General features: G+C 36.0%; 1 protein-coding gene across 9 annotated transcripts in view; it reads left to right on the plus strand.

Moving 5' to 3' along the window:
• RALGPS2 (Ral GEF with PH domain and SH3 binding motif 2) overlaps positions 1–24,393 on the plus strand; it is a 196,597-nt gene extending 172,204 nt beyond the window's left edge. For 7 of the 9 annotated variants that reach the window (NR_174383.1, NR_174384.1, XM_047423755.1 and 4 more), the window contains 4 exons: positions 217–309; positions 4,659–4,764; positions 9,329–9,420; positions 18,883–24,393. Coding sequence is in view for 7 of the 9 variants with exons in the window: in XM_047423755.1 (XP_047279711.1) it covers positions 217–309; positions 4,659–4,764; positions 9,329–9,420; positions 18,883–18,912 (321 nt within the window). In the remaining 2 variants the exon portion in view is untranslated. The remainder of the gene's footprint in view (positions 1–216; positions 310–4,658; positions 4,765–9,328; positions 9,421–18,882) is intronic. The other 2 variants (NM_001400042.1, XM_047423766.1) reach the window with 1 other exon arrangement.
• Positions 24,394–25,014: the final 621 nt, after the last annotated feature.

Raw genomic sequence — 25,014 nt, forward strand, 5'->3', positions numbered from 1 at the left:
GCTGGAGGAAAGACTGAGTATGTGGGTCTACAAACAGGTAGTTACATGGCAGTGACAGGAGTATTTGAGATTAAGATTTCAGAAGTGATACAGCTCAACTCTGAGGTTAGGACTTTGGTTGAAGTGAAGTGGACTTGATCATTGGCACTTAGAATGTAAAGAAACTAAGAAGCCAGGAGCATTGTAATAGTATATTCCTGTGTTTGTCCTATCCAGGTAGCATCTTGGACAAAATATTGGGCAGCTTTGTGTGGGACACAGCTTTTTTACTATGCTGCCAAATCTCTAAAGGCTACCGAAAGAAAACATGTAAGTATTTGTTCTCTACATTTTTAGCGTGGTTTCCCAGACTGTTCATGGTTATAAAGAAAGCAGTCCTAATGGGATACAAAGGTTTTTTGGGTTTGCCTTGTTTTTTCCTATCTTCTAGTCCAAAAGTTTTTACATTTATTTCTTTTTTAAATACCATTTTTCCATTGCAAATGTCAAAACTGCACATTACGCTTATCTATTTTGACATCAAAGCTTTCTCAAATCTGGAGTTTCCTGTTCAATATTGTTCAAAACTATTGCCTTGGAGTTTCCTTTCCTAATCAGCAAAATGTGGAAATGTGGGACCAACATCTAAAGTTCTTTCCACCTCAATCTCTGGTTCAGTGATTCTTCCCAACAATGAAGAGGAATGATCAATTACAACAGTTACTGCAATCACTTTCTTGTGCTTCATATTACTTAAAAGAAGCCTCTTTTCACCCTGTAGAATTTTCCTATAAATCTTTTTTGCATGCTGTTTTGTTTTTACATACCAGTGATAGAATCTTTGAAAGGAAGAATGATTTTCTATGTTGCATTAATAAAATCTGAGAGGAATTTTATTTCTAAGTCACATGTTTTGGGGGAGAAAAATTACGTGGTTTATCCTACTGAGGAAAGGTAAGCCAGTGAAGAAAAATTTAAGTCCTTTTTCTACTTAAAACTTAACCAAATGATACTGTATAATTCAGAGTAATTCAGAGAAACTCTTCTTTATTCTCACAGTTTTAGCCCTTTAATCAAACCACAGGTATAGAAAAGAACATTTTTGGTTTAAATGAATGTGGGAAGTACCGTAAGATAGCATTGCCTTTCTTTATCAGCTATACCCACCACCTGCCACCCTCCTGATCATCATGACTCATTGTCTTGCTTTTCTTCATAGTGTTAGCATATATGTTTCCCTAATTAATCCATGGTTTCATTTTTTAACTGTACCTCAGTGGGATCATATATATTCTTAAGCACTAGCTTTTTTGCTCACTATTATTATATAATTGTTAAGATAGCTCTTGCATTGAGATAAAGGACTTGAGTGAAGGATCATGGAGATTTCTTCGGTGAATATTTATTTTTTGTATTCTGGTCAAATTGACAATAATGCCTATATACCCTACAACATTTACATAGATTAGTTTTGCTAGAACAATTTGTAGAGTTAGTACTGCTGTTCTCAAAGTGAGAAAAAGGTTGGATTCATTCAGTTCAATTAAATCCTTAGCTTCATATGGAAAGTAACTTTTCACATAGCCACATTGAGATACTTGCTGGATAGATTTCACTTAGCTGACTATTGTAGAAAAGTCATTATTCAAAATAAAATGGTTTTTTTGTTTTTTGTTTTTTCTTAGTTTCAATTAGAAAAAGTCCAAATTAGAGAAGTTATAACTGAATTTGTCATCTAATGGATATGTTAAATATTGTTTTGTGCTTTGCATTGTTGCTTGTGCATAAAGTTACTAGTATATTATACTTTGGGTTTTTAATTATATGAGGTTTCTGATAGGTAATGTATGCAAAATGTTTGGAAATTAAAGCATAGTGAGTTGTGAGAAAATCTTATTGAGTACCAAGGAAATTGACCGCATTTCTCATCTTTTCTAATTAAATTAAAATATAATTAAAGAATAAATTTGAAGAACAGGATAGAGGGTATAGAGACAGGTCTATATCTATATTTGGTATTAATCTTGAGATAGAAAAGATATGGCACAGAACTAAATGGAAGAAAAAAATTTTAATCGTTTTCAAATAAAGTTAGAATACAAATAAATTGGAGGAAAATATCTGCTATATGTAAGCAACCGAAAAAGGATTAAAATCACCATTTAAACATAGCACCACCTGTATTGTTGTGTTTTGGTTTTGGTTTTGGTTTTGGTTTTGGTTTTGGTTTTTTTTTTTGCCAAAATATTTAACCTGAATCTTATGAGGAAATAATCAAATCCAAATTGTGGGTCATTCTATGAGACAGCTGGCCTAGATTCTTAAAAAGACCAAAATTTGGCAGGTGGAGTAAGGGCAGGGGGACAGGAGGACTGTTCTAGATTAAAGGAGACTTGACAACTAAATGCAATGTATGTCTTTTAGTTGAATCCTGGAGTTATATTGGGGAAAAAATTTAAAAAGCTATAAAGGTTATTATTGGAACAACTTAAGAAAATGTAACATGGACTTTATGTGGTTGTCTCTTCAATTTCTTAGAAATGACAATTACGTTGTGATTGTATAGGAATATATTCTTGTTATTAAAAGATACATGTTGAAATATTTAGGGTTCAATGTTATGATGTCTGCAATTTGCATTTGAATGTTCAGAAAGATCAAACAAACACAAAAATGTAGATTAAGGATATATGGCTAATCATTGTGGCATTCTCAACTTCTGTACAGTTTGAATTTTTTCAAAATAAAAAGCTGGAGGAGAAAAAAAATCATAGATTAAAATATACCTGTTCATGGCAATAAACCCAGAAGTGGGACATATGGAAGTCTGTATACCTTATTTTAGTATTCTATAAAGTATATATTTTTTTGCCTATGAAGAACAGTTTGTGTGGGTAGAGTGATCAACCTCACTTACTATTTAAAAATGCAAATTAAGGGAGACACTTTCCTGCCATTAGACAAAAATTTAAAAGATTGATGACATAGCATTGGTCATGATATGGGGAAACAGACTGTCATCCATGGCTGGTAAAAATTTAAATTGGTATTGTTTTTGTGGTGGCCAGTCCGAGTCAGTATTTAGCTTGGTAATAACCAGAAATTCCTCATCTGAGAATCTGTCCTACTGAAATTTTTGAACAAGTGCACAAAGATTATCTGTAGAAGAATATTTCTATAATATTTATGACAACAGAAATCTGGAAATACCCAAAATACTTATCAATAAGGAAATGGTTACTGATAGATGAAAAACACAAGTCAGAGTGTAAATATATCCCCCATTAATACGTAAAAACCAACAGCAGCAATGACACAAACCTCTGATATAATAAATGCATAGAATAAGGTCTGGAGGTTGTCACCTCAAGTGATGATTATATCTGGGGAATGTGATGGGATTCGCTGGTGGTTAAAGGGCATTTGCACTCTAGTTTCATCCCTGTTTCTGAAGCAGTTTATGTTGCTTGAGTTACTTTTTACTTTTTGAAAAAGGGAATTGAGGTGGAAGTTTTTAGGCTTAAGAAAAGAATATTAGAAGATCATAGTATTCATGTCGAAGTACATTATGAGCTGTCAAATCAGCAGTCCTGTGGTAGGGCCAATTTCATTCTTCACAGTAGTAAAACTTACTGATTTCTTTAGCTTTCATATTTCAATTTCATGTTGTTATGAATGTGCCATGTTCATTCTTTTTCCCATTTCCTTTAATCGTGAAGCATATCATACATACAAAAGAAGATAGGTAGTGTACATGTACATTTTAAAGCATAATAAATAAAATGAACACCTGTATACTCTCCACCCAGTGTGAGGAACAGAATGTTACTAGAACCGTCAAAGCCTTCCCAGAGGCATCCACTTCTTCCCTGTCAACCATATCCACAGCTTCTTGCTGTCCTGAATTTCTTGTTAATTGTCGCCTTGTTTTTCTTTAGTGTTTTACCATGTACACGTCCTTATACAATGCACTGTTTGATTTTTAAACAATACCTGAATGGCTTCACATACAGTCTTAAGCACTAGCTTAAGCCAACCTGTTCTTCTTTTATAACTGCCCTTTCTCAGAATTAAGAAAAGAAGTTGTAGCTAAAATAATAATAAAAGAATGGTTAACTACAAAAGTAATAGACAGGCTAAGAATACCCTTCTTTTTTGAAAAATACAAGTAAGAATATTGTCATTAAGAATTATCTGGTTGCAGGGAGCTGAGATCACACCACTGCACCACAGCCTGGGCAACAGAGTGAGACTGTCTCAAAAAAAAAAAAAAGAACTCTCTGATAGCACTGCTGATTTATTACATCATCAGATTTAAGACAGCATAGCTACTAAAATGCAAATGTCCTTCCTATAAGGAGTAGTACAGTAATTCAGAAAAAAAACAACAGATTAATATATCATATTCACAAACATGCTCTCTGGGAATAGGGAATAGATCAGTTAGGTTTTGATGCAGAGTTGAAGCTGGGAAGGTCTGGAAAGTAGGAGATTATCTGAAGAAGGCATGCCTAGGATGAAATTCAGCAGTAAAAGGCCCCAGGCTGGCTGAGACCAGCATGAAGTCACAAATCTCATCTTTCATTAGGAGAAACTGAAAATACACTCCCTAACACTGAAGTTTTGCTAGAATAAACCATAAATTTTCTGTTTCCGCTAATTATCTTTTTTTCTCTCAGTTCAAATCAACATCCAATAAGAACGTATCTGTGATAGGATGGATGGTGATGATGGCTGATGACCCTGAACATCCTGATCTCTTCCTGCTGACTGACTCTGAGAAAGGTGAATTGTTAGAATAACTGGGGCTTACGATACTGCGTATGTGTTTGTGTATATGTATGTATGTATGTGTGTGTGTATACTTGTCATATATATAATGTTTTATGCATACATGAAGAACTTGATGAGCCAAAACCTAGTTTCACTGGAATACTCAAGAGAGAAAGTATTTGTGTAGTTTTATCTATTGGGAAATACTTCTGTCCCATTATGTATTTTAATAATATTTGTGGAGCTTATTTTCTTTGCTCCATGGGCATATATGCTTGAAAATTAAAAGCCCAGCTAATCCCTAGAGACCTAACTAGGAAAGGAGGGAGGGAATTTGAGAATATATACCCCATTGTTACTTCAAATTTTTAGAGACTTGCCATATAGGCCATACTGCTTCCTTCATCAATACCTTGAAATGGATTGTTATTCTTAAGTTCTGAAAGTGGCAGAGTTTTCCTTTAAATATTTATTCTATCACTTTTAATTAAATTATTCAGAACCAATATTCTGCAGTCTTATCCACACAGATCTAGAGATGCCACACAATTATTGTATTTATTTAGATGTATTTTATTCTAAAGAATATTTAAGAACAAAATTATTTCTTTTAATCCATAAGCAGCAAAACAGTGACTTTCTGAATATATTTGGCTCAGATCACTTTCCAAGTTAATTATAATATTTTACATACAGTATATAGAGAGACACTTATGAATAAAATAACTGGCTATTGACCATTGGAGTTTATAAAGTAGATATGAGAAATTGGAGGATGGGCCATGTATAATCACATCATATGTTCTTCTTACTCTACCTGTGACTATAGTGGATACCTCAAGGCTCATCAGAAAATATCCCCAAGTGGTTGCTTTTCTTCCATCATAACAACTGCTAGCTGTTGACAAGTACCAGAAAGATACTTTCAGCAGTTCACAACTGGAATACTATGTTACCTTTTATTGACTTCACAACTATATTTTGACCTCTGTTTATTCAGATACTATTTTGTATCAACAGATATCCCACTTTTATGTTTCAGTGTTTTAAGTAAACAAGTAAGCAAATATGTTGGAGGCAGGAAAAAATAATACCAAAATGTCTTCTTTTTAGATTAAGTAGATTGATTTACAGAATAAATACACCCTACTCAACATTTTTTTTCCCATAAGTTATTGGGGTACAGGTGGTATCTGGTTACATGAGTAAGTTGTTTAGTGGTGATTTGTGAGATTTTGGTGCACCCATCACCCGAGCAGCATACACTGCACTCTGTTTGTAGTCTTTTTACCCTCATCCCCCTTCTCACTTTTCTCCCCAAGTCCCCAAAGTCCATTGTATCATTCTTATGCTTTTGCATCCTCATAGCTTAGCTCCCACGTATCAGTGAGAACATATGATGTTTGGTTTTCCATTCCTCAGTTACTTCACTTAGAATAATAGTTTCTAATCTTATCCAGGTCACTGCAAATGCTGTTAATTCATTCCTTTTTATGGCTGTGTAGTATTCTATCACATATATATACCACAGTTTCTTTATCCACTCGTTGATTGATGGGCATTTGGGTTGGTTCCATGATTTTGCAATTGTGAATTGTGCTGCTGTGAACATGCGCATGCAAGTATCTTTTTCATATAATGACTTCTTTTCCTCTGGGTAGATACCCAGTAGTGGGATTGCTGGATCAAATGGTAGTTCTACTTTTAGTTCCTCAGGGAATCTCCACACTGTATTCCATAGTGGCTGTACTAGTTTACATTCCCACCAGCAGTGTAGAAGTGTTGCATGTTTACCACATCCATGCCAACATCTACTGTTTTTTTATTTTTTTTATTATGGCCATTCTTGCAGGAGTAAGCTAGTATCTCATTGTAGTTTTGATTTGCATTTCCCTGATCATTAGTGATATGGAGCATTTTTTCATTTGTTTGTTGGCCATTTGTGTATCTTCTTTTGAGAATTGTCTATTCATATCCTTAGCCCACTTTTCGATGGGATTGGTTTTTTTCTTACTGATTCGTTTTGAGTTCATTGTAGATTCTAGATGTTAGTCCTTTGTCAGATGTATAGATTGTGAAGATTTTCTCCCACTCTATGGGTTGTCTGTTTACTCTGCTGACTGTTGCTTTTGCTGTGCAAACGCTCTTTAGTTTAATTAGGTCCCAACTATTTATCTTTGTTTTTATTGCATTTGCTTTTGGGTTTTTGGTCATGAAATCCTTGCCTAAGCCAATGTCTAGAAGAGTTTTCCAATGTTGTCTTCTAGAATTTTTATAGTTTCAGGTCTTAGATTTAAGTCCTTAATTCATCTTGAGTTGATTTTTGTATAAGGTGAGAGATGAGGATCCAGTTTCATTCTCCTACATGCGGCTAGCCAATTATCCCAGCACCGTTAGTTAAAAAGGGTGTCCTTTCCCCACTTTATGTTTTTGTTTGCTTTGTTAAAGATCAGTTGGCTGTATTTGGGTTTACTTCAGAGTTCTCTATTCTATTCCATTGGTCTATGTGCCTATTTTCATAGCAGTACCATGCTGTTTTGGTGACTGTGGCCTTACGGTATAGTTTGAAATCAGGTAGTGTGATGCCTCCAGATTTGTTCTTTTCACTTAGTCTTGCTTCGGCTGTGGTGGGCTCTTTTTTGATTGTATGTGAATTTTAGAATTGTTTTTTCTGATTTTGTGAAGAATGATACTGGTATTTTGATGGCGATTGCATTGAATTTGTAGATTTTGCTTTTGGCAGTATAGTCATTTTCCCAATATTGATTCTACCCATCCATGAGCATGGGATGTGTTTCCATTTATTTGTGTCATCAGTGATTTTTTTCAGCAGTGTTTTGTAGTTTCCTTGTAGAGCTCTTTCGACTCCTTTGTTAGGTATATTCCTAAGTGGTTTTTTGTTTTGTTTTGTTTTGCAGCTATTATAAAAGGCGTTGAATTCTTGATTTGATTCTCTGTTTGGTCATTGTTGGTGTATAGAAGCCTACTCAAAATTTTGAATTCAAAGCCCCAGCCTCCTTCCCATATCAAAGGCATAATTCACGAAATTACATTTCAAGATGAGAGCATTTTCATTGGATTTAGTTAACAGATTCTTTGTTTTCTTCAGTTTCTCTTAGCATGCCTAATAGAACTACTTCAGGTAGCCAAAATTTTATGAAGTCTATCTATACTAATGGTTTTTTGCGGGGGAGGGGTGAGTATGTAAATTGTAGCTGTGGCCAGCTTTATTGTAGATATGGCTTTTTTTCACATTGACCTAATGTCTGTGTCTGAGTTCAGCAAGTGTAACGGTGTTACTTGACTAAACATTTGGTGAAGAAACAATTACTTCAGAAAGTGAAAAAGTTATTTTGAGTGTTAGAATCTCAAGGAAAAGCTGAATAATGCTTAAATATAGTTAGGCTCTTGAGCCATTGAATGCAGTTATTAAGGAAAGAATAGAATTCAGCACAAATTGTGAAATAAAAAGAACTTAGGTCAATGAAAAAAGGAAATAAAGCTTAATTTAGAGCAGCCTATAGTACATGGATCCTTTCTTTTCTCAATTTGTTTTCTCACCTTAATACATATAACCATTTAAAATATCCTCATTATATGTCAGTCTTGAATTAAAGTCAATATAGAAATTACAAAATACACACAGCACAAATGAATATCTAATTTCTTAAAAGAGAGAAAGTTGCCTCCTAGACTTTCCCCAAGAGCCCTCAACAGAACTGGAAATCTGTAATAATATTGACAAATATCTTGTAACTAAAGACTAAAAGCATAGTCTATCAATGTTATATGACTAATCCTTAATTATACTGAATAGCTAGTGTTTAAGTATTAAACATATTGAAGCATTCTGGCATGTTAAAACTTAACATTAACATCTACTAATATTTAGGCCAGGTGTGGGGGCTCATGCCTGCAATCCCAGCACTTTGGGAAGCCAAGGCAGGCACATCACTTGAGGTCAGGAGTTCGAGACCAGCCTAGCCAACATGGTGAAACCCCGTCTCTACTAAAAATACAAAAAACTTAGCTGGGCATGGTGGTGCACACCTGTAATCCCAGCTTATTGGGAGGCCGAGACACGAGAATCTCATAAAGCTGGGAGGCAGAGGTTGCAATGAGCTGAGATTGTGCCACTGCACTCCAGCCTGGGCGACAGAGCGAGACTCCATCTCAAAAAAAAAAAAATCTAATATTTAGATCATCTAAGTAGTAAGTATTCAGAACCAATATTCTGCAGTCTTATCCACACAGATCTAGAGATGCCACACAGTTATTTTATGTAGGTGTATTTCATTCTAAAGAATATTTAAGGAGACAAAATTATTTCTTCTAATTCATAAGCAGCAAAAGTGACTTTCTGAATATATGATAGCATGTAAATGTGTTGCATCGAGAACTCTTTATTGTATTGGAAATACAATAAAAATAGGAAATACAATAAAATGGAGGTGTTGAATAGAATTCTAAAACTGAAAACTCTAGTCATGTTTAATTTGCTCATTATTATCTGGCAGAATTATTATGTGTCGTCCTTACATTTTTAATATTTCCCCCTTATTTTGGATAATTTTAGGAAATTCGTACAAGTTTCAAGCTGGCAATAGAATGAATGCAATGTTATGGTTTAAGCATTTGAGTGCAGCCTGCCAAAGTAACAAACAACAGGTAAGCATTTCTCCTAATTCTCAGAATAGTCCATAATTTGGGAACATATGTAAAAGAGTTCCAAGAGAAGTAAACAGACTAGTTCTGAATTAACTAGGAGAATGGTGGTGTTTTTATTCTTGTTGATTACAGTTAATAAGATATGAAGGTCTACATCTTAGTGAGGAGCTAGACAGTAATCATGCAAACAAGTAACAAAATTTCGAACAGTCAGAACTATATAAAGAAAACAATAGACGTATGTGATATAGAGCAATGGGAGTACAGACAACTTTTGATAACATAAGGTTGGGCAGCAAAGATCTCCCTGAGGAGATGGTATTGACAAGAACCACAAGAAGGAACGAGCTATAAGAAGAGGAGAGCAGAGTGCTGTGTAAGGGAAGAGCAAGTGCAGGGAGCCTGAAGCTGGAACAAGCTTAAGGTGAGTTCAAAGCACAGAAAGGTAGCTAGTATAGTAGTCAGAGTATAGTTCTCTAAAGGGTAAAAATTAGATGGCATATTAAATTAATAAAAATTATTCGAATTCATCTTTATTTGATCTATTGACAATTTGATGTGGGTTTCTGTGGTGGTAGTGAAACCAAAAACCATTTAAATTTTGTTTGCTTTTATTTTACTGAAACAAAAATGGTCTAATTGAAAGGCTTTCAGCTGCAGAAGAGCAGGAATCCATTGTGTTGTTTTCCCCAAACCCTGTTGCACAGTTAGAGTTGAACCACAGATTGGTAGAGCAGACATAAAACACATAGCCACATTTATAGAAATTTATATAGACTTTTTGTAGAACCAGTTGTTTGTTAAATATATTTGAAAATCATTGACTTAGCATATTGATAATGCAGAAGTCTATGGTTAGCATTATCAGTAGGTAATATTGAATATGATGCACTATATAAGCTTAGAAAGCTTACAGAAGTATTTTTCACCCTGTCATATCAGGATGTAAGTTATTACCCTTTCTTGATAATTGAAACTAAGGCTCCATAATACAAAATGACCTACACAGGTCACACAAGTAAAAAATGGTGGATTCAAACTTTCTTCATCCTTTAAGTCCATTCTTTTTGTTTGTTTTTTGACTTTTGGGTTCAGAGGGTACTTGTGCAGGTTTGTTACATGGGTATATTGTGTGTCACTGAGGTTTGGTGTATAAATGATCCTGTCACCCAGTTAGTGAGCAGAGTACCCACTGGTTTTTCAACCGTCACCCCTCTCCCACCCTCCCCACTCTGGTAATGCTCAGTGTCGATTGTTCCCATCTTTGTGTCTAGGTGTATTCAATGTTTACCTCCCACTTACAAGTGAGAACATGCAGTATTTGGTTTTCTGTTCCTGGATTAATTCACTTAATGGTCTCCAGCTGCATTCATGTTGCTGCCAAGGGCATAATTTCACTGTTTTTTAAAAATCACTGTGTAGTATTCCATAGCATATATGTACCACATTTTCTTTATCCAATCCACTGTTGACAGGCACGTAGGTTGATTCCATGTCTTTGCTATAGTGTATACTGCTGGGATGAACATACATGTGTCTTTTTGGTAGAACAATTTATTTTCCTTTGGGTATATGCTCAGTAATGGGATTGCTGGGTTCAGTGGTAGTTCTGTTTCAAGATCTTTGAGAAATCTCCAAGCTGCTTTCCACAGTGGCTGAACTTACATTCCTACCAAGTGTATAAGCATTCCCTTTTCTCTGCAACCTTGCCAACATCTGTTATTTTTTGACTTAGCCATTCTGACTGGTGTGAGATGGTATCTCATTGCAATTTTGATTTGCATTTCTCTGGCAATTAGTGATATTGGCCGTTTTTCAAATGCTTGTTGGCCATGTGTATTTCTTCTCTTGAGAAGTGTCTGTTCATGTCCTTTGCCCACTTTTTAATGGGGTTGTTTTTTGCCTGTAAATTTAAGTTTCTTATAGATTCTAGATATTAGACCTTTTTCAGATACACAGTTTGAAAATATTTTCTCCCATTCTCTAGGAATGTTGGTTTATTCTGCTGATAGTTTCTTTTGCTCTGCAGAAGCTCTCTAATTAGGTCCTGTTTGTCAGTTTTTGTTTTTGTTGCAACTGCTTTTGGAGTCTTCATCATGAAGTCTTTGCCAGGGCCTGTGTCCAGAATGGTATATCCTAGGTTATCTTTCAGGGTTTTTATAGTTTTAGGTTTTGCATTTAAGTCTTTAATCCATCTTGAGTTGATTTTTGTATACAGTGTAAGGAAGGGGTCCAGTTTTAATCTTCTGTATATGGCTATCCAGTTATCCTAGCAGCATATTGAATAGGGAGCCTTTTCCCCATTGCTTGTTTTTGTCAGCTTTGTCAAAGATCAGATGGTAGTAGGTGTGAGGCATTATTTCTGGGCTCTCTATACTGTTCCATTGGTTCTATCCTGTTCCATTGGTATCTGTTTTTGTACCAGTACCATGCTATTTTTTGGTTACTGTAGTCTTGTAGTATAGTTTGAAGTCAGGTAGTGTGATGCCTTCAGCTTTGTTCTTTTTACTTAGAATTGCTTTAGCTATTTGGGCTTTTGTTGTTGTTGTTGTTGTTGTTGTTCCCATATGAATTTTCTAATGGTTTTTTCTAATTCTTTGAAGAATGTCATTGGTAGTTTGATAAGAATAGCATTGAATCTGTAGGTTGGTTTGGACAATATGGACATTTAACAGTATTGATTCTTCCAATCCATGAGCATGGAATGCTTTTCCATTTGTTTGTGTCATCTCTGATTACTTTGAGCAATTTTTGTAATTCTCTTTTTCTTTTTTAATTTTTTTTTTTTTTTTTTTTTTTTGGAGACGGAGTCTTGCTCTGTCTTCAGGCTGGAGTGCAGTGGCGCGGTCTCGGCTCATTGCAACCTCCACCTCCCGGGTTCAAGCGATTCTCCTGCCTCAGTCTCCCGAGTAGCTGGGAGTACAGGCGTATGCCACCACGCCCAGCTAATTTTTTGTATTTTTAGTAGACAAAGGGTTTCACTGTGTTAGCCAGGATGGTCTCGATCTCCTGACCTCGTGATCCACCCACCTCCGCCTCCCAAAGTGCTGGGATTACAGGCGTGAGCCACTGTGCCCGGCTTGTAATTCTCATAGTAGAGATCTTTTACCTCCTTGATTAGCTGTATCCCTAGATATTTTTTTCTTTTTGTGGCTATTGTAAATGGAATTGTGTTCTTGATTTGGCTCTCAGTTTGAGTGTTATTGGTGTATAGAAATGCTGTTGATTTTTGTACATTGATTTTGTATCCTGAGACTTTGCTGAAGTTGTTTATCAGATCTAGGAGCTTTGGGTCAGAGACTATGGGGTTTTCTAGACATAACATCATATAGTCTGAAGAGAGATGGTTTGACTTCCTCTTTCTATTTGAATGCCTTTTATTTCTTTCTCGTGTCTGATTGCTCTGGCTGGGACCTCCAGTAAGTATTATGTTGAATAGGAGTGGTTAGAGTGGGCATCCTTGTCCTGTTCCAGTTCTGTAAGGGAATACTTCCAACTTTTGCCCATTTAGAATGATGTTGCTGTGGGTTTGCCATAGATGACTCTTACTATTTTGAGATATGTTCTTTCAGTGCCTAATTTGTTGAGGGCTTTTAACATGAAAGGATGTTGAATTTTATCAAAAGCCTTTTTTGCATCTTTTGAGATGATCATATGGTTTTCTGTTTTTAATTTTGTTTATGTGGTGAATCACATTTATTGATTTGCATCTGGTGAACCAACCTTGCATCTCAGGAATAAAGTCTACTTGATTGTGGTGAATTAACTTTCTGATATGCTGCTGGATTCAGTTAGCTAATATTTTGTTGAGAATTTTTGTGTCTGTTCATCAGGTATATTGACCTGTAGTTCTGTTTTTTCATTGTATCTCTGCTAGTTTTTGGAATCAGAATGATGTTGGCTTCATGGAATGAGTTAGGGAGGAGTCTTTTCTTTCTCGATTTTTCGGAATATTTTCAGTAGGATTGGTACTAGCTCTTTTTCGTACATATGGTAGAATTCAACTGTGAAATCCACCTATTTCAAGGCTTTTTTGGGTTGGTAGGTTGTTTATTACTGATTCAGTTTTGGAACTCATTATTGGTCTTTTTAGGGATTCAGTTTCTTCCTCATTCAATCTTCAGAGGTTGTGTTTCCAGGAATTTATCCATTTCTTTTAGGTTTTCTAGTTTGTGTGCATATAAGTGTTAGTCTCTGAGGATTTTTTGTATTTCTTTGGAGTCAGTTGTATGTCACCTTTGTAATTTCTGATTGTGATTATTTGGATCTTTTCTCTTGTTTTATTTGTTAATCTAGCTACCAGTCTATCGATCTTGTTTTTTCTTTCAAAGAACCAACTTTTGGTTCATTGCTTTTTTGTATGCATTTTCACATCTCAATTTCATTCACTTCTGCTCTGATTTTGGTTATTTCTTTTTTTCTGCTAGCTTTGGGGTTGGTTTCCTTTTGTTTTGTTTTTCTAGTTCCTCAAGGTATGATGTTAGGTTGTTAATTTGAGCTCTTTCTAACTTCTTGACATAGGTATTGAGTCTGATATGTTGTGTCTCTGTTTTCCTTAGTTTTAAATCATTTTTTGATTTGTGTCATAATTTCATTCTTTACCCAAAAGTCATTTGGAAGAAAGTTGTTTAAGTTCCATATAATTGTGTGGTTTTGAGAAAACTTCTTGGTATTGATTTCTAGTTTTATTGTACTGTAGTCTGAGGCTATGGTTGGTATGATTTCAATTTTTTTGAATATGTTGGCACTTGCTTTATGCCCAAGCATGTGGTTGATCTTAGAGAATGTGCCTTGTGCCAATGAAAAGAATGTATATTCTTGTGTTGTTGAATGAAGTATTCTGTAGATGTCTGTTGGGTCTAGTTTGTCAAATGTTGAGTTTAAGTCCAGAACATTTTTGTTAGTTTTCTGCCTCAGTGATCTGCCTGACACTATCAGTGGGGTGTTGAAGTCTTCCATTATGTAGTTATCTAAGTCTCTTTGTAGGTCTCTAAGAACTTGTTTTCCTAATCTAGATGCTCCAATGTTGGGTGCATGTATCTTTAGGATAGTTAAGTCTTCTGGATGAATTGAACCCTTTATCATTATGTAATGCCCTTCTTTGTCCTTTTTGACCATTGTTATAGTCTGTTGTATCTAATATAAGACTAGCAACCTTTGTTCTTTTTTGTTTTCCATTTGCTTGATAAATCTTGCTCCTTACCTTTACTTTGCACCTAGTATGTTGTTACATGTGAGATGGTTCTCTTGAAGATAGCAGACAGTTGGGTCTTGCTTCTTTGGCCAGCTTATCACTTTGCCTTTTTTGCCTGTTTACATTCAAGGTTACTATTGATGTGTGAGGATTTAATCCTGTCATCATGTTGTTAGCTGCTTGTTATGTAGACTTCATTGTATAGTTGCTTTATAGTGTCAGTGGACTATATACTTAAGTGTGTTTTTGTGGTGGCAGTTATTTTTCTTTCATTTCCACATGTAGCACTCCTTAAAGGACCTCTTGTAAGGCAAGTCTGATGATAGTGAATTCCTTAGTCTTTGCTTGTCTGAAAAGGATTTTCTGTTTCCTTCACTTATGAAGCTTAGTTTGGTGGGACATGAAATTCTTAGTTGGAATTTCTTTTCTTTAAGGATGCTAAAAATAGGCCCCCAGCCTCTTCTGGCTTGTTAGGCTTCTACTGAAAGGTCCACTGTTAACCTGATGAGGTTCCCTTTACTGCCCCTTTTCTCAAGCTCCATTTAAGATTTTTTTCTTTTGCATTGACCTTGGAGAATGTGATGATTAAGTGTCTTGGGGATGCTCATCTTGTATAGTATCTTGTGGGGAGTCTGAATTTCTTGAGTTTGCACATCAACTTCTGTAGCAAGATTGGGATAATTTTTGTGGATCGTATCCTCAAATATGTTTTCCAAGTTGCTTACTCTGTCTCCTTTTCTTGCAGTAACACCAGTGAGTCATAGGTTTAGTCTCTTTACATAATCCCATATTTATCAAAGGTTTTGCTCATTTTTAAAATTTTTTTCTTTAATGTTTGTCTCTGTTAATTTGAAGGAGTGCTCTTCGAGTTCTGAGATTCTTTCCTTGGTTTGGTCTATTCTGTTGTTAATGCTTCCAATTGCATTATGAAATTCCTAGGCTGGGAGTGGTGGCTCTCACCTGTAATCCCAGCACTTTGGGAGGCCAAGGCAGGCAGATCACTTGAGGTCAGGAGTTCGGGACCAGCCCGGCCAACATGGTGAAACCCCGTCTCTGCTAAAAATAGAAAAATTAGCTGGGCATGTTGGTGCATACCTGTAGTCCCAGCCACTAGGGAGGCTGAGGCAGGAGAATCGCTTGAACCTGGGAGGCAGAGGTTGCAATGAGCCAAGATCATGCCACCGCACTCCAGCCTGGGCAACAGAGCAAGACTCCCATCTCAAAAAAAAAAAAAGAAAAGAAAAAGAAAGAAATTTCTAGAGTGAATTTTTAAATTCCAGAGGTTCAGTTTGGTTCTTTCTTAAAATGGCTGTGTTATCTTTCAACTCTTGGATTGTTTTACTGTTTTCCTTAAACTGGGTTTCACTTTTTCCTGTATCTCACTGAGCTTCCTTGCTATTCAGATTCTAAATCCAAAGTCTGTCATTTCAGTCTGGTTAAGAACCATTGCTGGGAACCTATTGTAGTTGTCTGGAGGTAAGAAGACACTGTGGTTTTTAGAGTTGCTAGAGTTCTTGCATTGGTTCTTTCTCATCTGTGAGGGCTGATATTCCTTTATCCTTTGAAGTTGCTGACTTTTGGATGGTGCTTTTTGTTTTTATGTTTTTGATTTCCCTTCAGGGTTTGACTGTGGTATAAGTTGGGTATAGTCAATTGGCTTCCTTTCTGGATGTCTTCAGAGAACCAAGGTTCAGCTTGGCACTCCTGGGCTGTGTCCTGTAACTCCCAAGGGGCTGGGACTGGGCCCCTGGCTTTTTCCTCTGGCCTCTTGAGGTCGACCACCGGCTGCACTGGGTGGACCAAGGTGCTCCCAGGCTGCTGGCAAAACCTCTCCATCAGGCTACTGGCAAAAGCACTTCCTCAGGGGCCACTGTTGAAAGTGTTCTGGCAGGATGGTGGGGGCCACTGGTAAAAGCACTATGGTGACAGTCGCCCGCAAAAGCATTCCAACAGAATAGTGGAAGCTACACTGTGTGCCTGCTCCCATGGGAGTGGCCAAACAGGGACCTTGGAAGGGGCCAGTAGACAGTGGGACATGCAGCTCAGACTCACCCCAGTCCCATGGGAAACACAGCCCTGCTCTCTCCAAATATGGCAGTTAGCAAAGGTCAGAGCCACCTAGAGGAGTATGAAGAGCCTTGGTGGGTGGGCGCCTATGGCCGTGTTCCTTTGCAGCTTTCCCCACACCATACCCCCTGGGCTCCATGTAGACCTAAGTTCTGTCTCTGCCAGCTCTCCAGGCAGTTCCCCCTGGCAACTCAAATATCCAGGAGGACTATGGGATCTCCTGCCACTAGGATCCCAGCGGTTTGTGGTGAGAGTGGGCCATTCCACAGTTACTTTACTCACCCCTTCCTTAGGAGCTGTTCAGGACCAGGAATGAGTCCCAGCACTCCACAGCCCTGTGCAGGGTTCCTAGCTTCTTCGCTCTTCAACCCTGGTTCTGCATCATCTCTCCACCCACTCTCAGAAAATCGGTGATTTTCTCTCAGTGCATCCTCTCAGAAGATAGGCTTGGAGTATGCTGGTCTACTAGATACTCAGATCTCTCTTGGTGGGAGAAGCTCTTCCTGGCTTTGCCTAGTTGGCCATCTTGTCCCAATCCCGAGGGCATTTTTTTAAAATATTGTTGGAGTGGGCTTTGTTCTCTCATAGTTTTTATTGTTTCAAATATATATGCAACACTAATAGCAGTATTTAGTACCATTTTTAGCAACCTCCATAAAGGACATGAAATGTCATAGAGCGAAAATTATTTTTTGCCTTGTCAGGTTAGTGTCTGGGGCAGAATGAAAGAAACAGATCAGGCTTTGTCTAGACTAAGCCTTTCAGGATTCACCTCATTGCTATACATTTTCTTTAAATGTAATTTAGGGTATTAAGACTCTTTTTTTTTCAATCTCAGATTCCAAGATGAATCTAGACAATATATACATATACCAGCTTAAAGGTTCAATTTCTTTTACTGTATTAGTGAGTATTTCTGTGCAACAAGTCAACCAGACGTGTATAAATATTTGTTTCTATACTTGCAAGAATTAGAATAGTGGCAAATTTGTAAGTAGAACCTGTGAAAGTTTTAGTAGAAAACTCTGACTCAAATGCAAAATATCTTAAACCACATTCAGGCAACTTAAAAAGAAATGAAACTTTTACTTTACTTAAATACAAGTTTCTTTTTTTTTCTTTGAGACAGGGTTTCACTCTTGTTGCCCAGCCTGGACAGTGCAATGGTGCGATCTTGGCTCACTGCAACCTCTGCCTCCCGGGTTCAAGCCATTCTCCTGCCTCAGCCTCCTGAGTAGCTGGGATTACAGGCACCCACCACAGGCCCAGCTAATTTTTGTATTTTCAGTAGAGATGGAGTTTCACAATGTTGGCCAGGCTGGTCTTAAACTCCTGACCTCAGGTGATCTGCCTGCCTCAGCCTCCCAAAGTGCTGGGATTATAGGCGTGAGCCACCGCACCCGGCCAAATATGAGTTTCTTATAATCAGACCTGAAAATTTATACTTTAAGCACTTGAGCATTTGTGTTGTATTTGATTTGTAATTCAGTTATGAGTACATTGGCCAACATAATTTTTTTATTCAGAAGCTGACACTTGTAAGGTATTTATGTTTTTGCATATAATAGGTTTCAGAGAGAGGTTGCTAAACTGTGAGAGCTGTCTTAAGGACAGAAAAGACCACTGACATATGAATACCTCTCCCAGTATTTTGGAAAACTGGTTTTGAGGATTTGTTTTAACATAGTGAAACTCTAATAAGGAATTTTGTTTTTCTGTACTTATTTTAATCATGATTTTACAAATAAATTCTTAGTAATGTTTGTTATAAAATTATTTTTGCTGATTTTAAAAATATGCACCTAGGAATTTTTGTAATATATAATGAGAAAATAAATAATGGCAAACAAGTGTATCTGGAATCTCACCCTACCAGAGTCATACTTACTCTTGCTCTCATTTATTCATTCAGTAAACGTCTACTGAGCCCCCTGTGTTAGACAAGAAAGATATTGTCTCTACCCCTTCTCCTGTATAGATGTCATTTTACTAGAAAGAGTATTAACTCATTTTGGTGATTTTCTCTCAAAAATGTTCTAGCATGTTAATTATTCATAAACTATTGAAGCTCCTTATATCAAGTTCCTTTTAAAAGATACTTAAGTAGAAAGATTGGGCTTGCCTAAATAACAAGGAAAGATAAGAAATACTCCTTTGAAAAACAACTTTTAAACTCAGTTTTTAATGCTTATATTTTTTAGGTTCCTACAAACTTGATGACTTTTGAGTAGAAGCCTGAGAAAAAAAGAGAGGTGAACTGTTGCTTCTACGTGAGCATGAGGACCTGATAAAAGAGCGCCAGCTATAAACCATCCTGTGCCAGGAAGAGCCCAGAGGCTCTGTCTCAGTCGTTGGAGTTCTCAACCAAAAAAGCACTAATTTCAGGGAATGATTTGAGATATTCCCAGAGAACAAATTGGAGTTGCAAAACAAACTGCCATGAACCATGCTTCTTATCTCAGAACTGACCTGTGGAAACCACTGCCTTAAAAGAATGAAAGGAAAACCAACATGAAACACCAAATAGTGTGTGTGAATCTTCTGGCGGTGCTGTGCTTGGAATAGATCGTAGCTAATTTGCATTTCTTTTAACTTTGTAATAATTTTAGAGGGGGGAATTGCCTTTTTTAGATATGCTTTAAAAAGGAAAAACATACTCTTGTGGATTCCATCAGGAGCTGGTTTTGAACCGAGGTGAAGAGACTTAGCAGGGATTGTACCAGCAGCCCACCTGCAAGGTTTGTTCTCCCTCTAGTAGTCTGCAACCTCACTGGCTTTCTCACAGCAAGAGTGTAGGAATGAGAAATGTTAGTCATGTGAGTTCTTGGGTTTGTTTGGGATTGGGTGGGGGTGTTTGTTTTGTTTTGGATGAGGGGAGAATTTTTTTAAACACTAAACTTCTGAAATGTAGTACTGTAAGGGGAACATTATTTCCTGCAGGAGGTACAAAGGCTGTGTGTTCATTTGCCAGACGCTTTTTTTTTAAATAGGTTCCAGAAAACATGGTTGTTTCTAACTAGGGTTAAAGTTTAGCTTTCTATATGAATTCATTGTTGGACCACAGATCTGCTTAAGTAAAGAGCTATAATCCCAACCTAAACTTTTCTGAGATTTTACAATAATTAGATCTTTTTCCAAGTTAATTGGGTTTTCCCTTCTCCCAGTCATAGGTGGTTTTTATCATCAAGACAGACTGATATTTTGTCAGGATATTTTCTTTTACAGTGTTTGATGTGCATAATGCCAGAGTTATTTTTTTATTATTCATTTTCTCTCTTTTTGTTCAATATGAGATTCAGGATCATATTTGTTTAAAAGGTAACACATAGAGATGTATGTATATATTTTGTTATAAGACATACAAAATAATTTTAAGAGGGATAAAGGTGAAAATATCAGATTCTGGAAATTTTAAGTATCTAAACTTTATACTTGTATGATTTACCATAAACATACCAAAACATTTTTCTGAAAATTTACTGTCGGTCTCTGACATGAAACCGTATTTTGTCAGTAGTTGACCAAGCAGTTTTATGAGAACTCTTCTATGCAATGATGCATTTAATTTCTAAAGTAAATGTTGAATTATTAAAAAAAAAGTTTGAAGGTAAGATGCCTTAGAATTTTAATGAAAAATGACACTCAAACAAAGGCTATATGTCGAATGTTATAAACTCTTGAGACATAATGAATTTTAGCAGTGGCCTAGAGTAAGGTAATGCTTTGTGACTGATATCTACTAATAGACTTCTGTTACTTTGGGCCTCACATAAAATTTCTCACATTCGTATTCTTAGAGAATTTTATACTTTTTTATTATAAGTATTTTGCCCTTGAGTCCATGAAACTTCAATAGAAAATATTGCTTATACAATAATTAGCTTAAAATCCATCCAAAGGAAAAGAGAAGAGCTTTTTTTGAGTGTTAAGTTTTTTAATTTAGTATTCTGTTTGGAAAAGATGTTAAGAGTTCAAATATGCTTCTTATGTAACAGAAATACCATTATTTCTGGGGTTTAGTGACACAGGCTGGAGAGGACAAAAGTTTCCTGTCCTGAATGATTTTTCAATTAATGCTCTAAGCTTAACCCATGTTGGGTAATAGAAAGACATAGCCAGCAGTATTACTACGTAGACCTTGCACATCTTACTTTTGTTTTGCATTTTTAAAAATTTCTTAATTTGTTTATTTCTCTTCAGAAATAGCGTTTTTAACAGTGTATGTGCTTTTTTAAAAAGTATTGTGAATGAGAACCCTGTGGATTTTTTTTATTTCATTTGTTTGTCATAATAAGCTAACGTAGAAATGTTGTAGGTTAACCATATCTGTGGAAATATGCAGTTGGAAGTCAGAGCCTGACATCACATAGTTTTGCCAAAGGGAGAGAGCTAAGCTGGAAGATGTTTTTGATACTTTCGGCTCTAAACATTAATGGATGTTTGCGTAGAGTAAGATAGCGTTCAAATTTGGTTAATAGTTTATAGATAGACTTGTGGCCTCTGACTGACTAAATTTCTTAACAGCACAGAAGTCGTTGTTTTTCTGTCTTTAAAATTTATTCATTCAGAAAATTAGTCATTGCTTTTTAAGATTATTTTAGCATTTGAAGCAAATTGAAAACAGAAAAGTGACTTAAAATAGTGTAGGTGAATTTTTTATCTATAATTTACCAAATAATACCTGATAATAATTCAAAGAAAATATGTTACCAAAATATATTAAATATATAGGTAGTTCATTCGTGGGAAGATGAATCTTCTTATTAAGCCTGCCCTCAATTGTAAATAAGTGACTCAAAAACTCAAAATGTTCATCAGCATTCAGGTCATTTGTTTCACCCTTAGCCAAGAAGAACTCATTAGAAATTCAGTTATAATTTCAATTTAAGCCTGTTTATGATAAGCATAATGATTGGCATGTTATATAGCCTGTTGAAAATAACTACAGAATGACCTTCCAGAGCACTGTTTTTGGCCTCGTGCCCGCTCTGTTCAGGCTCTGCTTGTTTTTCAGAATATGATTTTTACCTCCAGACAGTAAGAATTGAACAAGAACTGATCAAACACACCTTCCTATTTTGTTTTCTTCACTATGTAAATATTATTTGGGCAAACATTACAAAAAGGGATCCAAACAATTTGAGTTTCAGTATTTTTTTCTCCCTAGGCATGTGCTTCAATTTCAAATATTTTTTTCTGTGTGGAAAATGCCATGTAACTATTGCACTACCTTCTGTGTGGACTGTGTTGGTATTGGTTCTTTCTGTATATCAAAAGTCAGGGTGTTTATAACTGCAAAGTTTGTATAAGTGGCTTTATTCCTCTTCTAGAAGATTTATGAGGAGCCTAGGAAGCACTATTGGTACAGGAGGAAAAAAGAATGGAAAACATGTTTACAGACTCTAGCTTTCCTTATTAGCTTAAACTGGGGCCCTCAAAGAGCAGCCTGTTGATCTTTTGGCCAAATGACTTGAGCATAAGTCTTTTATTTCTTTTTAAGGTTAAATCGTAAACTGTATACCTTTACTACTGAAAACAAAACTATAGGGCATCATACTAATTGAAAATCAATAGTAATGGGTTCCATCCATTAGCTTTTTAAATGAATAGATCTGGTATTGATTTCCTTCCTGTTTTTTTGAGGCACATTCCTTTACAACCAGTGTTTAAACCACCACGTAATCATCTTCTGCAAACAAGGGGTGCCAGTGTTGCCTAACAGAAGATAATCTTTAATAAAGCAAATCCTCTGCTTCAAAGGTTTTTGAAATAATTGGATCCCTTTTTGAAAAGGAAGATGAGTTTAACTGTGTCCAGGTGGAGTAATAGTACTGCTGTTGCATGAATAGATGATACAAAGCAAGTGATGAGGTTGGTATGACTTCTTTAGTGACCTTTTAGGGTTTGCTTTTATTTTCCTCTCTTTTTTGTATTATTTCTTTCAAACATAGTAAATATATGATTTTACAGCCAAAGTGGTATTCTGTTTTTTCTAAGCTTTGAGATACAAATATTGCTATTTAATCACATTGATGATGAATTACTTTCCATGTGAACCTTCTCAAAATGATTTAAGTACCTTTGATTTTGCTCCCCTAAAAATGGCTTGTGTCTAAAGTGACATTTTTTTCCCTATTTGGAGGGTTCTAATGAAAGAGATCCAGGCATAAAAACTCTTTTGCTTATTGAAAGCAATTTGATTACACCTATGTTTCAGGTTATAGTGGGGAGAAAATTTGGTCAGTGCCTTATTATTTGAAGAGCAATTTTAGGGCATCAAGTATGACAATAATCATGTGCCCTCTTGCTCCTCTTATTTCAGGAGTGTGTGCTATCCCTCTCTCCACCAGCTTAATCTTTCTCACCCCAAGTCTAACAAAGTCTTTACAGAAACCTCTGTAGGTGATTGTTGCAGTCTTCCTTGGTTTTTGAGTCTTTTTAAACAAGCTCCTACCCTGCTTCTATCCTTTTAGAGTAGGAGATTAAAAATAAACCCACCCCAGTCAACCTTTAGATAAGCACTCTTAAAAACAAATTTGAAGAGCACTCTTCAGCCAAGTTCATTTTTATTTTGTTGTTGATGTTTTGAGCATACATTTAATTGTAAGGCCTTTTGGAAAAGCCCTAAAAGAATAAGATACAACCAGAAATATTTGAGTTTTGTTAAATGTACTGAAATCTTGTAATGAAAATCCCTTTGGCCAGAAATGAGATTTATTTCCATTTATTTTTACATTTAAGTAACACTCAAAACAAACAAGTAGTCACTTAACCTGCCAGTTATTATTTTCTTGAAAATATACAAGAAAGTAAAAATATCTCTAATATATAAGTTAAAGGAAAGTTAAGAGACTAAGCTAGTTTTTTCAGTGAAAGCAAAGTTGGAAATATTTTGCTTCTCTCAGATTATTGGAAGACCTAGAGCTACTGGATGTTAACCTGAATCAAGATGTTCTTTTCACATTTTTTTAAAGGGCTAGTATGTTCCAGAGTAGGCAAGTAGTCATTCAAGCCAAATGAAAGAGTTAACTGGTCCTTGAGGAGTGTTAGCAAAATTTAAATTTTGACCCTGGCCATTTGTACTACAGAAGTGATTATGGGATTAAAAGAATACATAATTACAGTGTTTTGGGATTGGGCTCTTTTTTTTCTTAATAGAAAAGCAGAAACTTCATAAATAATAGCTGTGCTTTAGATACCAGATAACAAATATTGTTTCCCCTGAAGATATGACCTACTAGAACTACTCACATATATAGTCCAATAATTACTGACTTAATAGGTATGGTAAAATAGCTGATAATAAGTCAGACTCTCAAGAGTTTCTGTACCTTGATTATTGACAAATTCATTGTTTTACATCCTACTAAAGAACATGTGTGTGGGGAGGGGGTGGGGAACTGGTTCACAACATAATCTGAAGGAGATCAAACATCTGTAAGGACAGGTACCCAGTGATGATAATATATCTGAAAACACAAGCCATTTTTATTCTTTATCCCAATTAACTTGAGGTACTCTAATGATGAAGCACTCGATTGCACTATGACCTCCTTGAGTGATGTGCAGCTTGGTTCCTCTCTCACTTTTTGTTTCTTTTTAATATGCAAATGTGAGTGTGCGATCTTCAGTGTGTCTGCATAAGCTAACTTAAGATGAATTTAAGTACAGTTTTCTGAAATATTTCTATTGAAATAAATTACTTAAAATTATAGATTGGGTGAGGATGTTTTTGTTACTGTATTTGCATTTTTATCATGAACTTTTAAGGTGCAAATAAACTTTAAGTTGATTTTTTTCCCCTTTCTAAGGTAGTCAACAAGGCTATTGTTGGTGCAGGGAAAGCTCTGAAAAAACTTTAGTCACTCTTCTCTAGCCCAAGACAAGAATGTGCCACCTCGCATGTGGACAAATGGGGTTGTGGGGAATAGAGAGTAAGGGCATAACATTTCCAACTACATCTCCCACTCTGAGTATGTGATACGATAGGAGTAGTCCCCAAAGAGGCTCTCTTTGCTAATACATAACATTTTTTTCTTTTTACCATTTCTGAAAACAATCCATATTCGAGACCATGGAGCTTTAAATTGGAAGAAGTACAGAAATACCTGTGTGGAGTCTCCTGTAGGCTATTGTCTGGGTGTTGGTTATGCTTGAGAATTCCACGTTAGCTTAGCCTCTGCATGGTTTAGGAACCCCCAGCCAGGAAAAGCCCAATATTTTGGCAAATTATAATTCAGTTTTCAGCAGTTTTCTCACCTCCATAGTGCCCTTTGAAACTTCTCACTGTCCCTTTACTTGAACCAAAAGAGAAGAATGACACTTATTTGTTG

Source organism: Homo sapiens, chromosome 1 (assembly GCF_000001405.40).
Source record: "Homo sapiens chromosome 1, GRCh38.p14 Primary Assembly".
Classification (NCBI taxonomy): Eukaryota; Metazoa; Chordata; class Mammalia; order Primates; family Hominidae; genus Homo; species Homo sapiens.